At 39.0% G+C, this 18902-nt stretch overlaps 1 protein-coding gene across 7 annotated transcripts in view; it reads right to left on the bottom strand.

The window, feature by feature from the left end:
- The window catches only part of MYO16 (myosin XVI), a 712290-nt gene that overhangs the window by 82583 nt on the left and 610805 nt on the right, over nt 1-18902 (bottom strand). For all 7 annotated transcript variants that reach the window (XM_011521062.2, XM_047430183.1, NM_015011.3 and 4 more), the window contains 2 exons: nt 4957-5053; nt 65-311 (listed from right to left, as the gene is read on the bottom strand). In XM_011521062.2, the coding sequence (XP_011519364.1) occupies nt 65-311; nt 4957-5053 (344 nt within the window). The remainder of the gene's footprint in view (nt 1-64; nt 312-4956; nt 5054-18902) is intronic.

The following is an 18902-nucleotide window of genomic DNA, read 5'->3' as shown; positions in this document are numbered from 1 at the left end:
AATTTTCATGACTCCACTGAACCAATCACAAAGGTAATTAAAATTGCATGCTCTCTGCCTTTACCTTTTGCTTCCTTCCTCTTGCATGTTCCTGACCTCTAACTTCTCTTTATGGTAGGGAGCGTTCATTTCACTACGGAGCCGGTCATTTTCCCGGGCAATGTCTGAAGCATTCTGAATGACCAGGGCATCGTAGGTTTTCAGCCCCATGTCCTCTGTGTTCTGCAGAAAGCTATTGATAGAAGTCACCTCTTGTTGTCTGATGCTTATTCTCTGAAGCAGGTGCTGGCGTGCTAAAAATCCTCTGATAACTTTTATAGAAGGATCATGGGTTAGTAAATGGAGGAAAAGTGAAAAACTCAGACATGCACAAACAAAAATCATAATATACTTATCTCTGAGCAGTTGTAGAATAAGGTACATTTAACCCAGAATAAGACTTTATCTAAATCAGCAGTGATAACACTAAAGGCAAAGCTCTTTGACTTGAATGAGATCTTGCAGGCAATATATTGATGATAAAGGCCTCCACATTGTTTTTGGTAACACAAGCTGGACTTTGATGGACTGGAGTTAAATCAGTGGGAAAGAACTAGGTCTAAATCCCACAGAATTTTGGGGTGTGCCTCCAACTGCAGCATTTTGGGATGTGCGGATCATCTTTCATTACATCACATTATTACATAAACACCTAAGGCTTATGGGGTTTGTCTTTGGAAATATCATGCATATATTGTTTCTAAGATTATGATTTAATTCTTAGAGAAATTAACACTATATTTAAGACTCTGGAAAAAGATTGTGTATAAATATAGGACATCCATCCTGCTCTCTGGGAAAGGACGGCTAGAAAAATGTGTAAAAGTTGGGGGAAATGAGTGAAAATGCTTTGAAATCAATATGTCAGTAACAAATACAAGAATTAAAAATAAAAGACCACCATTTAAAGGGACCTCTGTAAGACACTCTATTGCGTCATTCAATTCTGAAACTCAATGACAAAATATACCGCTATCTCAATTTCAGACACAATGGCACTTCTCTTAGTAAAACTAAGAAAGTTCCTCCAGGTCAACACAACCAAGGAATAGTAGAGCCCGGGCTCATATGTCCCCAAGCTTAGGAGGTCAAACTACATTTCCTTAGCCTGCAGTTACACAGACATAATCTCTCACTCTCCAGGGGGCAGATCAGCAACCAAGAAAGTCACAGGGAAGCATATTTGCAATCAGTGTTAGAAAGAACTTTCTAACAATTAGCACAGGGTGGAAGTGGATCAGGCTGCCTCATGAAAGAGTTGCTTCCTGGGCCCTGAGTGTGTACAAGGCCAGCACAGTGACGCCTTCTCATGGGTGAAGTGGACAAGTGCAGGTAGAGGAATTCTGATTAGAGTCTTTTCAAACTTTGTGATTCTGTCTCTCCCAATTTTAAAAGTTTCTAGGATTACAAGGAGTTGATTAAGATTATAGAAGAGTTATAATTTCAGGAAAGCCAATGTCTGCAGCAAAGACACTTTATTTTTGCCCTTGGGAAAGGAGGAAGCCTATAAAATATTAAGTGCTTTAAAATAGTTCATGGTTATAAAATAATAAATATGAGGGGTACCTATGATATTAACTTTGATGTGTTTACTTGAGTAGCTGGTAGAAAGCTGAACAGAACGTTCTACTATGATGGCTGAACAGGAAAATAATATGTGGATATCTGAAATGCTGAAAGCGTTTTTTTCAGATGGCACTACTAAAGGTTTAGTTATGTTGGAATGCAGTTGCATTAAGTTAACTGTAAAACAGTCATTCTGAAGTAACCTAAAGGAAAAATGTTAAACAGTATGAGGCACAGTCAGACTTCCAGGAATATAAAATGTGGAGTAAAGTGGAGACGTATGAACCATGTGATGGGCACCTTGAGCGCGAAAAAGGCAGAAGACTTGAAATTGGCCTGTTCACTCGTTCTTTCTTGTTACACTAAAAAAAAAGGGAGACATTGGCTTTCGGAAGGGTGAAAGAGAGAGTATTTTCAAGATGTTTAATCTCTTGGAATAAAGAGAAGATTAATGTGGATGTGCCAGACTTCTCCTGACCTCCCACTACAGCACAGCTATTCACTGGATTCACTTTCACCCGGAGTCTATTGTCCCGCCTCCGGAAGACCTCATTTTCTCACACTTCATCCCAATAGCCTTTTAAAATTCTTTAAAAATGTTACACCAGTTGCTAAATATTGATATCTTCAATAAGGGGCAACTGGTAAAAATAAAATTGCCACTAATGGATGTTGATGTTTGTTGTCTTTCAGACAAATTCAGAAGACTGCTTCTAAGATACCGCCCATGTAAGGTCTTAATTTACAGATATTTTTCATCCAGGATAAAATGAGCATATAGAGTCAGAGAAAAAACTTCTGGTAGGAATAATTTTAAATTAAAATGATTAAATTTAAAACTAAAAGTTACAGCTTTCTTTCCCCTGGACATTTTTAAAGAAAAATATAGAATTCTTAAAACAACAACTGGAAATGGTTCCAGATTATATAAATTTTGAGTAAATTTAATATTAGCAAAAAGCATTGAGGGAACTGTTTTAAGAGCTATGAAAATAAAAATCAATAATTAATGCTTTGCATTTACAAGCCTGTAATTAAAAAATACTCATATCCATTATTTCATTTATGCAATATGAGATTATGGTTTCTATCTTGATGTAATTTTTTAAGACCATTTTTTTTTTTTTTTTTGAGACAGAGTTTCACTCTTGTTGCCAGGCTGGAGTGCAATGGCATGATCTCCACGATCTTGGCTCACCGCAACCTCTGCCTCCTGGGTTCAAGTGGTTCTCCTGCCTTAGCCTCCCGAGTAGCTGGGATTACAGGCATGCGCTACCATGCCCGGCTAATTTTGTATTTTTAGTAGAGACGGGGTTTCACTATGTTGGCCAGGCTGGTCTCAAACTCCTAACCACAGGTGATCCGCCTGCCTCGGCCTCCCAAAGTGCTGAGAATACAGGCGTGAGCCACTGCGCCCGACCTTTTAAGACCATTCTTAATTTTTATCTTTAGAAAAGTGAACAAGTAATTACAGTTCTGTTCATTTTTTCTGTTCCAGGTCAATAGGGTATAGAAATTTAATCTTTGTTAAATAGAACAGAAATTTCTAATGGGGCAAAATTTCTTATCATTATATTTAAGGGAAGTTTTCAGGAGAATTTGTGATACCCTGTTCTGTCTTTAGCGTTAGATTAAATGAGACTCTCCCTGTCCCAGTTTCAGCTAAGGCTGCAGATAAAGCTCTGGATGCCACAGGTCCTGGGTGGGGCCTGAGGCATTGCTGTGCTAGCCAGATCCCTGGCGATGTTGGTGTCGCTGGTGTTCCAGGGACACATGGGTTGGGGCAGGGCCAAACATGCAAATAGGACTTGCAAGGGGATGATCCAAAACAGCCCTGTAGCCCGCCCTCTCCCCTGCACTGATGAAGGTTGAAGTTAAGAAGGCCAGGTCATCACACACTAGAAAGACGATGCCTCCTTTACCAAGAGTTAGCAGCCAGGTCATCACACACTAGAAAGATGATGCCTCCTTTACCAAGAGGTAGCAGTTGGCCCTCTCTTGTCCAAGGCTTCCCCTTGCCTCAGCCTGGTGAAAGTGGTTTCAGGAGGCCACCCAGAGATCTTGGTATGTGGCTCCTGGGGGTTTGGGGCCACTGTGCACTGTGATATCTCTGAGGCCAGGGCTGTGGCAATGGCTCCTGCCAGGCCCCTGCATGGAAACACAGGCTCTGTTAGAGAAAAGCTGCACCTAGGAAGCCATCTAAGAGTTTGTTTCTTGGGCACCAGATGTGGTTTTCACAAAGAATGTGTACTGAGAGAACAATGAGACTCCAACAGAGGGTCTGCAAGGTGCCCAGGGGCTGAGGGGTGAGTTACAAATGACCGGCCAAAGGAGGATGTTGCCAGTTAGAGAAGGAAGTCCCTGAAGTGCTCCTGAATATGTGGAGAGCTGTTGAAGTCTGCCCCAGCTGGAGGAGACCAGCGCCATAGTACACCTGTGTCATCAGAACACCTGCCATAAGCAGGTCTTTTTATCGTTAGAAGACTTTTTACCTTCATCAGAAGACACCTCCTTACCTCTTCCCCTCCTCATTAACCCTGGAAGACCCAGAGGCAACCTGAGTAGGTAGGGATCAGTCCCATGCCCAGTAAGGATGGGACAGGCCTGGAACAGCCAAGAAGGATGTTTTAACTTAGAATGAAGTTCAGAATTTTGATCATTATTTGAGCTGGATGTGTTAAAATCTGAACAGAGACTGTTCAAGGGACTAGCATGTAACAGGGCTTCTTATTTTATTTATTTTTCTAAATTTTGATTTTTTTTCTTTTAGAGGTGGGATCTCGCTCTGGCACCCAGGTTGCTGTGCAGTGGTAGAAACACGGCTCACTGCAGGCTGGAACTCCTGACCTCAAGGAATTCTTCACTTCAGTCTCCTGAGTAGCTGGGACTATTGTTGCGTCCCACCATGCTTGACTAATTAAGACATTTTTTGAGAGATGGGGATCTCACTATGTTGCCCAGGCTGGTCTTGAACTCCTGGCCTCAAGGGATCCTCCTGCCTCAGCCTCCTGAGTAACTGGGATTACAGGTGGACTTTTTATTATCAGAAAATGAAAAGACCCATTAGAGATTCACATAGGGGCATATCCAAATGAGCCCCACAGAAAAAGGATGTCTAATTAAAACATGAACAATGTCTGCAAATGTTGATTTTGAGATGGTTGCATAGCAAACTAAGCCACAATGCTTCCTAAACACCCAAAAACTATTTGCCTGAAGATAGCATCCAGGAATCGAGAGAGTGGTCCACTAGGGTGCAGACCCCATCGACATTTAAACTTGGGGATGCACTAAAAGATTTTGCATTTCACAACTCAAATAAATTCAGAAATGTTGGCATATAAATGTTACCTTTTTGGCAGGTTATAATTTTTCTCTGCAACTGTAGGCACAAATCATTGAGTTGGTCAGCATGCCAGTATTTTAGAAACACTTTTCGGACTCCCATCTAAAATGCAAACAGCAGGGAAACATTTAACAGCATGAAGATACCAAAATGATGATGGAAAAATAATCAGACAAAATATTTTTCCAGCAGAGGATTAGAAGAAACAAACTCAGAAAATTAGAGTACATGTCTCTGATTCTTAAACACTATTACATTTAATCAAAATCCCAAAGGCTTTGTTGTAATAAGTATGTTTACTGCATGTGTCAACATTGTTTTCAAATGGTTACACACTACTGATGTGGGTTGTACCATGTGGTGCAAAAGAGAAACACTGGCCTTGACTATCAGTCAGAAGATAAGAGCATCCCCATGAATGGATTCTCCCATTCTAGAGAGAGAATCTTTCCTTCCTCTTCTCATAGCAGGGAGTTTGAGTTTACAAAAAGAAAAACAAATACTCAAAAGACCAAACGAAACATAAAGCTGATGCATAAAATTGTTTTGCTTCTATAATTTTTCCCACTATGCCACATATTATTATAAATCAAATGTTTGTACAACTGCAATTATAGAACTTCAGAACTAAAGTTTAAAAGTCTCAAGAAAGATGAGAAAGTCATCTTTGAGCAACAATCTTCTGGATGTTTGCACAAACAGTAGTAGGGATGAACATACTTTTCCAGAATTTTTAAAAAGAAATTTTAGCATGACATGAAATCAGTTTATATGACAAGCTCTAGTGGCATGAGAACTTATCCAAACGTACTGATATTGATAAAGACAGCTGCCAAAGAAAATTCTTAACACATAGCTGTAAGCCACATTCATACACTTTTTAAGTAATTCTCTTGTGTGTTGTGCTTATTTGAAGAATTCACAGAACCGAGGTAGGTGTGAGGAATACCCCTCACATAGAAGGCACTCATAGTCTCTTAGGAGAAGCAGACATAAGTAATTGCAGGAGAGCCTGGTGGATCCTAATGTGGTGTGCCAAGGAAGCTCTGAGATGATATTCTGTTAGATAAAGGGAAAGTATTACTTGCAATAAGTTTATAATCAGATTCTTAGCACTTGAGACAAACACCATTAAAGTGAGAAGTCTAACATGTGTGCTCTCAAGCATGAACTGGGGACATTAAAATGATAACACCCCCTAGCCTATGCCATACATCACAGTACCACCAGACGCTGGCACGTGTGTACACATCATCAGGTACGGGAAAGGTTTATAGGTCAGACTTGTCTTCAGAATGGTTGGCCAGAGATGTTTTATGAGCCATTTCATATGAAAATGGAGTTTATTCCAAACACACTTTGTCACTTTGCCCCTTTCCACCTAACTCTTCCCTTACATGATCTGTTGTCTTAATAAAACACAGTTTTGCCAAAGATTTTGACTGAATCATGCATTATGACAGTCAGGCTAATTAGTTAGATCAATGGGGAAAGCTCTTAACTACTGGTCTACTTCAAAGCCTTCTGGTTGACTAGATGTTCTTCTTCATTTAGTTTAGTTTCTTTTAGTTGGTTGAAATTTGAGACAGTAACATGAGTGGGTGGCTACTGAGATTGTTACTTTTTTTTTTCATTGTATTGCCATTTTATCTTCCCAGTTATTTTCCATAATTCATAGTCTTTTTTTTCTCCTTCCCAACTGCTGACTTATTTTGGCAGTCGACAGGAAGAACAGTTGGTCCTGTCTGTGAGCTCTGCAGAACAAATCTGTGAGACAGGCATTGGAAAGGAGGGAACATGTCACCTCTCTGTTCATCATTGATTGTGGGATGTAACTCATTGTGGGAGACTAACTCCCAAAGACAAAATTCATCCAAACCTGGGTTCCAAAACAAAACTCCAAAGGAATGATGGCTGGTGATGCTCCACAATGGATGGGATCAATAATGATCATTAGGGGAATTAACATGGAAGGAGAGCAACATGCCTAAAAGACCTGTGGAAGGGAAACAGGAGAACAGGATTCTAGTTCCCCTCTCTTAATTCAGTGGAGACCCTCAGCAGGAGAGGAGGTGGACAAAATGAGTATGATCTCTTACAGTGGCATTTCTAACAGCCATTCAAAAACCCAAAGGAGGTTTATCTTGAGCATTGTGCTAGATCTGGGGATATGAAGGAGGCCTCTGTCCTCATGGAGCACATAGTGTACTGGGGAAGGTCAGCAGTGAGCAGATTCTGGCAATTGTCCATGCTCAGGACATAGAGTTATGTCCAAGAAACAGCTTTAGAGAAAAAAGAGTGATCAAGGTGTGATCAGGCAGGGTTCAGTAAGAAGCATGTTTTCTAAGCCATTTGGTCTTGAGGGATAAGCAGGAATTTCCCAGGGCATCTTGAGATGATGGGTGTGAGACAGAGAAACTAGCATGTGAAAGGCAAGAACCAGAAGACAGCAAACCATCTGAGGGTACAGTTATGTGGACACAGATGAGGGAAGAGGCTACATCTGTAATTGGTGGCTACATCATGAAGAGTACTATAGGAAAAACATGGAAATTCTCCTGGGAGCAATTTGGATATGCTGGGAAATATAAAGAGGACCAGATCTAAATTTAAAAAAAATATTTCTTGAAATTTGTCTTGAATTCTGAAAACTGTCTAAGAATGGATTATTGAGCTGGTCATTGGCAAGGCAGGGCAAAATACTCCAATTAATCATTTAGGTTTGGAAGATTCTGCAACTGCTGCTTCTCTGTTGACCAACTCCTCTTTATCCTTTACAACTGAAATCAAACCTCATCTCCATTACTAGAGTTTTGATATCCACCTTTCCACTTCCTTTAGGGCTTTGACACCTTCTATTTGTGTTCCCAGAGCACCCTATAAATGATTATTTATCCTATTATAGTGCTTTGTACATATTTACCATTATATATATATGTGTGTGTATATATATATACATACATATATACATATATATTACATATATATACATATACATACATATATACACATACATATATATACATATATATACATATATATACACATATACATATATACACATATATATATACATATATACACACGCATATATTATATATATTTGCATATTATATATATTTGCATCTCCTGAAGAATATGGACATATATTCTTGAAATGCACAAGTGGCAGGGATGTGGGCAGGATGAATTCAGATTAGAAAAAAAGAACAGAAGATAAAGAATTGTGAAGCCCTTGCATAAAGTGAGTCACAGAGACAGATGATAGCTTCTAGGGTGAAAATGAGATAAGATGACAAATGAAAACTTAAGTCAGACCCTAGAGTCATTCAGCAATCCAGAATAAGTCACAGAAGGTGGCAGGTGATAGAATAAGTCATGGAGGAAATAAAAGGAAAAAGAAACATGGGGTGAAACTGGCCTACCAGTTTGTATTGTGACTTCAGATCTCCAACCTCCATCAAGTGAATCTGAAGCCCAGAAGCCCATTGTAACTTATAAAGCCCTTGGTTGTACCTCAGCAGTGCAGATTTGCTTAGGCATCACTACATCAAAAACCCACCAGGGGACTGGAGAACAGGTCCACCCTTCCAACTCCTACCATTGCAAGTGTCTGCCTTCCTCTCATTTGTGCTTCAGTTGCCAACCCTGCTCCTTCCCAGCCATTATCCCCATTATCTCAACCCATGGCTAGGTGCAGCCATAGGCTGGGGAACCAGGAACTAGCTGACCCTGTCATCTCCTCCTCTCAGACAAAGGAAGTAGGGAAAAGGGGAAGCTCAGGATAGAGTATATTCAGGAAATACTTTTGGTTCAGATATGGAGGGTAAATTATAGGAAGAGTAGACACAGAGGTTGAAGTGAACTTTTCTTGGAATGTACTAGATACTTCAGGAAGTTCTTGATGGTCGGTAGTTGAGAAGTGGATTGATGGTTTCACAGGGCAGATCTGCATGTCAGGCCAGGTTTGGAGGTGGAGAAAAGGACTTCTTTCTGGGAGCCACGGATTGGGATAATGGCTGGGAAGGAGCAGCGTTGCAATCGAAGCACAAATGAGAGGAAGGCAGACATGCGCAATGGTAGGAGTTGGAAGGGTGGATCTGTCCTCCAATCCCCTGGTGGGTTTTTCATGTAGCCTATGCAAATCTGCACTGCTGAGGTACAACCAAGGGCTTTGTAAGGTATGAGGGGCTTCTGGGCTTCGGATTCACTCGGTGGAGGTTGGAGATCTGAAGTCACAATACAAGCATCCTATCAAGACATGGCTAAACACTTTGTTGCAATGCCTGGGTATTGTGCTTGCTGCTATTACATTCAGATTATTTTGTAAAAAATTCTTCAATCAACTACTTGGGCATATTTTATGGGTATCCAATGGACCATTTTATTTCATATAGTTTTGTACTATATAATTTATTTGTGGGTTGGCAATATTTGGAGATACTCATTGGATGTTTTAGCATTTGTTTGACTTTGCTGTTTTTTGTTTGTTTGTTTGTTTGTTTTTTTGAGATGCTATACTTGTAGTAAATGTTTGGTCTTTCTGAAAGCAATGAAATTAGCAGTTAAGTAATATTTTGCAGTTCTTCCTCAGAAACCATTCTGAATGCAGTCTTTACAGTTCTCTACTTTCACTGATGCTAGGGATTAATGAAGATACAAATTTAAGAATCCTTCTTTAGCAGGAAACAAAGATAAGATCACATATATTCTGAATTTTCATGGATTTACATTGTCTATTAATGACATTGACCGAAAGAAAATTATTGACCATTTTTGATTTTTTTTTCCTGTGGAATGAATGTTACTGTATAATCAGTCTTACAGTGTTATATCAAATCCAATAAATTAAGATTCATTAAAATTAGACCAAAGGTTCAGATCACCTACGTTTTTCATTTTGGTGGCATTCTCACATCAAAGAATGTTTCTCACTAGCAGAGAAAAGGAGAGGTTAAAATGTTCTCCAACTGAGCCCTCTCCCTGTGCACTGCTAGATGCAGAGTGTTCCTAGCTGAGATTAAAATGTTAATGTCATTCTGACTCCTGTAAAAGTAAACCATCTGTGAATTACAGTCATCGCTATTTTTATTAGAAAACCATTAGGTTTTTTTTCTTGTTAGGTGACAGATTTTAAAAGATTAAACAAAATTGTCATTGATGACTTCCAAAGCTCCAATTACTGTTACAATTTTTAGGTGTTTTTTTTTTTTTTTTTTTTTTTTTTTTGAGAGGTGTAGGCTGTGGAGGTACAGACAAATGCTGGAACGGTGGTTGTGCTAGAGTGTAGGTGGCACGGAAGCTGTGTTAGTAGAGACTTCAAGGGAACCTGTAGAGCACTTCTTTTTTTTTAAAAGACAATTTTTAGGAGTGCTGAGTGTTTCTGGCAGTACTTTTGAAATAGCATTTACAAAGGAAAAATATAGCTATTATCCTTTGATATTTTTCTATGATGCACATTTCTCTCTATATTAATGAAATTGAGAAAAACATCTAATGTAGAACTCTTCTTACATATTGGTAGTTTAGAAAAATAGTGACGCCTCTCATTTTGTTATATCTATGCATTCTTTGGGAGTTGAAGAGGCATATATTATTTGTATTGTATGTGTCACTTAATTTAGTTTACTCATTTACTGCTACTAAAAAATACAATCAGTAATTGTTTCCCATGCAGGTAAAGTAAAGGAGAAAGCTCAGGTCACATGGTTCTGCTTTGACAGAAGAAGGACACGTCAATTAAAACAACATAAAACACTTCAGTTACTTATGGAGACATAGAAAATTGGATAGAATTTATTTCGGAATAATAGTACAATTTCCTCTAAGGAAATGTGCACTTGTGATATCCACAATAGACTACACTAGTAGGATTAATAATCTACAAAGGAGGTGCAAAGAAACAGAGTGCCCATAACCCACACTGTTCTAGTTAGATCTCAGAAATCATCTTGATCAACCTCTTCAGTTTTCAAGAGAAAAAGGTATGTTTTAGAGAGGACGTATGACATTCACACAGTCCACACAGAAAGTTAGTGCCAGAGATAAGATGAATCGGAGCTCTCTAGGCTCCAGACTAAAAGAAGCACACACCCTTGATCCTATAAAGTCTCAAACTGAAAAATGCATATTAATCGCTTGGGATCTTGTCAAAATGTAGATTCTGTTCCAGTGGGTTGGGATGGGGCCAGTGATTCATTCTGCATTTCTAACACATTCCTAAATGATGTCGGTGACGGTGGTCTGTGGACCACATTTTCAGGAGTAAGACCCTGGGTCACTCTCTTTTCTTGAAGCTTAACTTCTTTGACAAGCTCACCTGGTCCCCTGCTCTGTGTGTCTGTCATCTCTGTTCCAATGTTTGTCCAAAGCTGCTATGTTGCTGCTCCCCAGTGAAAAGTTAGCTATCCTCAGAGTTCTTCACTGAATTCTCCTCTTACTTTTCATCATCTTCCTGGTAAGTTCATTATTCCAAAAGCTTTCAATACAGACTGCTCGTGAGAGCTCATCTTATCCCCGAGTCCATACCTATGGAGCCCATCTCCTTGTGCACACATTTATGTCGATGTTTCATAGGCACCCTAGCCTCACTCATATGTTTCCATCTTATCCTGGATTCTCTAGCTCAGTGACCAAAAGGACCATCTACCTGGGTGTTCCCTGAGCACCTCAAGCCCTAAAGATTTCCACAGGTCATTTCTCCCACACTTTCCCATCTCATCCATCCCTACCCACTCTTGCCTTTCTAGGCTAATGGAGTCGTCATCACCTCATCACCCAAGCCAGAACCCCAAGCATCACCTAAGTATGTTTACAGCTTTTCTCCCAGTCCCCATTTAGTCATAAGTTCTATTGAGGTTTCTAGAACCCACTTCCTGTTTACTTCTATGAATAATTTCAGTAGCTCCATAAATTATCATGGGTCTACATGCGTCCATTTTTTAAACTATATTCAGCGTGATCTTTCTAAATATCAATCTCATTATGTTCCTTTCTTGTCTAAAATTATTTAGTGGCCTGTAATGATTTTCAGGATGATGTTCAAATGCCTTTGAAAGGTTTATTAGACTTTTTTATTGTATGGCCCTTTTAGTCTCCTCCCTCCCTTCCTCCCTCTCTTCCTTCCTTCTTTTCCTTCCTTCCTCCCTTCCTTCTTCCTCTCTCCATCCCTCCCTCCCTCACCTTCCCTCTAAAATTTGCGGTAAGAACACTTAGCCTGATATCTAGCCTCTTAATAAAATTTTAAGCATATAATGCAGTGTTGTTAAATAGCAGTGAAATGTTGTATAGTAGGCTTCTAGAACTTATTCAATACATTCAAGCTTACTTACTCTCCAACTATATCATATTGCTTTCTGATCCAAAGTGGGAATTCATTTTTCTCCTGTTTAGTGTGTATCTTATAATAATAAATCAATTACAGTAGTACATCCATGTCACTAGTGTACCTTGTATACATCTCTACAGTAGCACTGAAGTCCTGGTTTTCTTCTTATTTGTGTATCTGTCTGACTATTCAACTTAACTGTGAGATATTTATAAGCTCAGATAATGTTGGAAAAGTATAAAGCTCATAATTCACATGTATTAAGGTGAAGGAAATGAAAGTAAATGGATGTGTACAATGGAGAAGGCAGAATTTTAAAAAATGCTTTGAATAAGCACTTGCTATAACATGACCTCAGATATTTAAAATTTCATTTGTCTACAAAAATTATTTTTTTTTTGGCAGAGTTTCGCCCAGGCTGGAGTGCAATGGCATGATCTCGGCTCACCACAACCTCCTTCTCCCAGGTTCAAGCAATTCTCCTGCTTCAGCCTCCTGAGTAGCTGGGATTACAGGCATGCGCCACCGTGCCTGGCTAATTTTGTATTTTTAGTGGAAACAGGGTTTCTCCATGTTGGTCAGGCTGGTCTCGAACTCCTGACCCCAGGTGAACCACCTGCCTCGGCCTCCCAAAGTGCTAGGATTATAGGCATGAGCCACCATGCCCGGCCATCAAAAATTAAATCTTAAATATTTTCAACTTATTTAAACTATTTGATTTATTTTATTAAAATACATCTAATAGGATTAAAGAAACAAAGATGCTGAGTTTCATATTTCCAGTGCCATCACCTCTGATATAGGATTATTACCGACTAAAATCTAGAATTTAACTCATCATCTCTCCTTTATCTGCTTTTTAACTCACCTTGCACACTGACTTCAATTTATTGGTCTTCTAGAAACTTCAATGATTTTATGTTGCCTATAAAGCCCTCCATAATATGAGCTAACCCTTTTTTATTTCTCTAAAAGAGATGCTATTTACTATTATTTTAGCTTCCCGTATACTCTCCTGAAGCAGAAAACCAATGTGAACCTTCTTTATATATTGTACAGGGCCCATAGCATTCTTATGAATGGAGTTTTCACTGAATAATATCATTACTGTTGTCAGGATTGGGTTAGATGCTATCCCTTTATTTTTAAGTCTACAATCGGCCGGGCATGGAGGCTCATGCCTGTAATCCCAGCACTTTGGGAGGCCGAGGTGGGTGGATCATGAGGTCAGGAGATTGAGACCATCCTGGCTAACATGGTGAAACCCTGTCTCTACTAAAAATACAAAAAATTAGCCGGGCGTGGTGGCACGTGCCTGTAGTCCCAGCTACTTGGGAGGCTGAGGCAGGAGAATTGCTTGAACCTGGGAGGCGGAGGTTGCAGTGAGCTGAGATTGTGCCACTGCACTCCAGCCTGGGCAACAGAGCAAGACTCCGTCTCAAAAAAAAAAAAAAGTCTACAATCATTGGAATATTTTATTAACATAGATTATATTTTAATGAGAAAGGTCTTACTGTGAATGCTAGCTTCTTTTCTGCAATTAAAATGCTTCATTTTCATACAAAATTAATCTTTAAAAATGTTAACCCCTCTTGCTCTAAAAACAGCCCTAGTCTAGTAAATACTTCCAGCTTTTTCAAAGGATATGTACTATCGTAGTTGCATCAAAAGTAGTCACATCTTTCACATATCAGTATTCTGGAAAAATGCCCTAGTATTTTTTAAAGTGCCCAGCAATGTAAATCTGTTCCCAGTTTGTTAAGAATAGCTTTATTGATGGTGATATGAACAACACAATCTTTTCATGTGTTCTGATGTCTGCAGAGTTCTCCCCTCAGATTTGCTTTCCTTCCTGCTGATCTCAGAATGTCATTGTGCTCCTTCACAACCCTGTTCTATTTTTGCTATGTGAAACAGTTTCTGTGCCTACCAGGTCATCTCTTCCAAGGGAAACAAATCTCAAAATCCCAACATTTCTACATGTGTGCCATGAAAAGGCCTTTACCTATAATTCATTCCTGGATCAATATCATTTTCTCATAACACTCAGTTGCATTATATTTATATTTTTCCTGATGTTCCTTTTCTCACATTTGTTCATCCGTCATCCTACCATCTGTCTGCTCTGAACATCCATTCACTCATTAGTTCATTCATTCATTCACCTTCATTCATTCATTCATGTATCCATTCGTAAATCAAATGTTTGCCAAGCACCTTCTTCATACCAGCAGGGCACAGATGCTGGGACCACAAGGATGAGTAGAATATTGTCTATCCTTTCAACAAGCTCAGTAAAGAAACCATTGAACTAAAGGCATCCTCTCCAGGCTGAATTCACATTTCCCCCATTTCATTCGTTAAATTTCTAAGAATGACCATTACTTTTTTGTGTGTGAATATTTTACTATTAATACCTCCACACTCTACATTTTCATGGTTGCTTTGAAAAGCTACTAAATAGAAAAATTCTAATGTTCAGCCTGGCTCTGAATGTCTGAATGTACTTTTAAACGTTCTCAAAGGATACATTTATATGAAAATACATGTTCTCTTTGTTATAAATAGACTATTCCTGAAGTTTAACTTCAACACAGAAAAGATAATTACAGCCACACACATCTAATAGAGCACTGTATCTTCTGGTATTTGAAGAAGGTGGTTTGGCTTGAATTACATATAATTATAGTTTAAGAAAAATTAATTATTCTTACCTAGAACAGTATGACCTGCATAGCAGGCAGTGATGAATAAAAGTTACTATTTTGAGCTTACTAGTGAATGACTCACTATGTAATTCTATACGTTATTTCATTATGGAAATCATATTGATATGGTCAAGAGTGCTTAAAGAAAATCACTTCTCCCAAAGAGACACATTGTGAAAAAGCTTACCAAAGCCACACCCAAACAAAGGTAATTAGCTTCAAAAGCACAGAGGAAAATGTATTTGATAAGTTAATATATTCAGTCAGAGCACACATTTGATCTTTCTTTTTAACAAAATGGCCTACATCATGTCAATAATGGTTTGCCCCATGGGACTGTATGTCATAAATGGCCAAACAGTAACACAAACATGGTCATGGCCTTTGGCACTCCCTGGGGTGTGGGAGCCCTTGTCCTATTGTCATCTGCCAAGTTGATGGCATTTACATATTTTGATGTGTGCTTTTCTTCTAAAAACATGATACCATGGTTTTTTATCCTGCACATCTGATCTTATGTAGTGCATCTTTAGGACTATTTGTAGCTATTCAGAAGTTCTGGCATTGCTTTCCTAATTCTGCATATGTCTGTCCTGTGGTGTGCTCACGTTTGCTTTGAGAATCCCATCTAATTTTGTGAACTGTCTTCTGTTTTCAGCCCTAAAGGGCCGAGTCTTTTCCATCATCTAGAGCTCCAAACATATTTTATGGAGCAAGTTCGTTTTTTAAAAGAGCTTGAGTATATTCCTGATCTACATTAATATTTTGGTTTTAAAAGAGATTCCACCTTCAGGTCAATGTAACTTAACAAGCACCTTCATTGTTGCCACGGTGAGGTCCTCTCCCCTCCCTTCGTGTTCTCGGCTTCCTCCCTTGTCCCATCCACCATGGCTCTCTCTTGCTTGAGCTGCCACATTGGCTTGGGAACTCGTTTCCCAGCTCTGTTCTTGCTCTCTAATACCACTTTTTTACATTTAAAGCATAAATCAGGTCATGTTCTACCCTCTCTAAAACTTATCAGTAGCATGCATTGAACCTAAAATAGAATGCTGCACTTTGACACATAAAGTCCCACTGGTTCCGAACCATTTAGCTCTAAACACACCTTCTCCTTGTGGTGATCCTGTCCAGTGGGTACAACTGGTTCTTGAGAAGAAAAACGTGTTAGTAATTACAAGGCTTCTGGCATATAATACGTGCTCAGTAAATGCTTATCGAATGACTAAATAATCTTGAAGTTGGGGAAATTTATATTGACATAGAAGATATGGAGTTGGATCTCTCAGTAGGAACAGACACAAACACCCCTCTTTCAGTAGTTGTTAGGGGCCTCATATTATCCAGCAGGACTGAGCTTTGAAGGTCAGAAACTGTTGTAATAGCAAAGTTATTTTTGCCTCCCCAGAACTCAATTCTTTATTAATTCTCTCAGTTTTTCTCCTTAGTGGGGCAATAATGAAAACATAAAGGTTGAGAAACATGGCTTTGTAGCATCCCTGTCTCCCGTTCTCATCTGGTTCTGTCCCCAGCCCTCCTACTCTCCTGTCAGTTCTCCCAGGATGTCCTCACCTCGGGGGCTCAGCACACTCGGGCCCCTCACCCTGGGCCCCTTGGTCCTGCCTCAGCACGTCCCCAGCTCCTTCTCACCCTTCAGATCTGGGCCTGCATGTGACCCTCCCAGAAATGCCCTGCATGACAACTGCCCTGTCTAGGTCAGGAACCCTCCAGTTCACTACTGCAGTGTCCCATTTGCTCTCTTTGCACCTGGATCCTAACCTGTGATTATTTATTAGTTTAAAGCTGACTGTTTCTCCCCCAGCAGACTGTGAGCCATCGCAATTGCCTTGCCTAATTTGGGGGAACTCATATGGTGATCAGTAAATGCTTGTTGAATCAGTCAATCAATAAACTTGAAGTAGAGGAAAACAGATGGATTTCTAAGCAATCAAAGTTGGATTAGGCATAGGCCTAGTCAGTTTTAATCAGCAATTAGTAGGTGCCAGATAGTACTCTAAGATATTACTCTTCATGCATAATGAAGCTGAGTGAAAAAATGTAAAATTACTCTAAAGGCAGAAACTATCACACATATCACCCAAACGCACTGCAGATACCTTCATTTGCAAAGGGAAGATGTGGTCATCAGTAGGAGGTTCATTTATTCATTCATTCATTCAACAAACACAAGTTTCATACACACTATGTGCCAGACCCTGTAAGAGATGTCATAGTGAAACACACACATGTGCACACATGTAAAAATACAAAAGAACACGGCGACATGACACCTGTCCTCAGGAAGTTAAGTGTGGAAAGAGAGAAAGACACACTGAGTAAGGATCAAATACATGTAATATCATTTTTAAAAACAAAGTGAATGAATACGCACCAAATATTTTCAGTAGTTATCTTTAGGTAGTTCAATTCTGGTAGATTGTATTTTCTTCCTCAGTTTTTTTCTTTTTCAAATTTCCTATCAAGGATACATACTACTTTTATAACAAAAATGTGTCATATATGTATATGGCGTGTGTGTATGCATGTGTTTGGCACAAAAGAAGAAAGGAAATACACACACACAGACACACACACATATAATATAATATAATATAATATAATATAATATGAATATATATGGTGATTCCAAACAGAATGTACATAGTTTCAAGGTGTACTCTTAGGTTCCTAATGCTTATTATTTTCAACATTTATAATTCCAGAGAAGGAGAAAGGATACAGAAGAAAGAATCATTTTATAGGCTATTTTCTAGCTTGTAATTATAGTTGATTTATGAAGTGTTCCCTGAGTAGTAAAACAAAGGTTATAAACCATTAATTTATCGTACTAATAAGAAGTAAGGGCCCTAATACAATTGTCTCATCATAGAGAATGTAAAAAAAGTGAGAGGTAGTTAAAACTTTAACAGTTCCTTGCTCTTCTATTTTATTTTCTCTACTGTACTACTGCAGATTAATGAAATAATAAAACCTTCATCCAACTGATTTTATGTAATGTTATGGTAAAATGTTAATGTTGCAGTTCTTGGCAATATAAGAGCAAATCCTTCAAAGATCATAACTTAATTTAACTCATTTTCAAACTATGACTTATTTCAAACTATTTGGGTAATAAAATCTAGACTATTCCGTAAACATTACATTAGAAGATTGTGATAAAAACAAAGATTGTGAATTTCTTTGTTCACAAGTAAACACAAATAGGAAAAGTATATCTCATTACAATTTGGAGTATGTTTTTTGTTGAGTACCCTTTGTTATTTCTTTCAGAGCCTCTCTCTCTGTCTCTTTTACATACACGCATGCACACACACTAGAGTAAGTATCGTATCATGCCGGTACTTGGGATGAAGTTGGTGTTCTAATTTTGTTTCTTTCTTCCTGTCTGTATTATAATCTTGAGTAAGCCACCAGAAGGATCTGTGTGTCTGACTCCTCATCCTTAAAATCATAGACGATATGTTATCTCTAAGGTTAAGATCTCAACTTCTCCTTCCACAATTTCCAGAAACAGGTATCACAAGTTCCTGCCTCAAACGGGACACACAGGCCACTCTTCTTTGCCTACCCACAAAACTTCTTTCACCCCGAAGTTCTCGACATCTTCTTGAACTATCAGTGAAAAGTACCACTGGGAAAGCCTTTCTGCACAGAGCCACATCGGTGCAGTGCCCCTCTCGACTCTCCCAGTGCTGTGTGAGTGCCTGTGTTCCGAAGCAGCACCCCTGGTATCACATGGACCGACTCTGACAGATTTGTTTCTTCATTCGTCATCCCTCCAGATGGCTTTAAAATGAATATAGCATTCAAATAACTACACAGAAGAAATCATCCTATAACCAGTTGATGCATATAAAATGTGTGAAAATCAGATTATACCACTTATTTTTCCACTTAG

The sequence above is a fragment of the Homo sapiens genome, chromosome 13 (assembly GCF_000001405.40).
Source record: "Homo sapiens chromosome 13, GRCh38.p14 Primary Assembly".
In the NCBI taxonomy this organism is placed as follows: Eukaryota; Metazoa; Chordata; class Mammalia; order Primates; family Hominidae; genus Homo; species Homo sapiens.
This window is presented reverse-complemented; position numbering and strand designations above follow the sequence as displayed.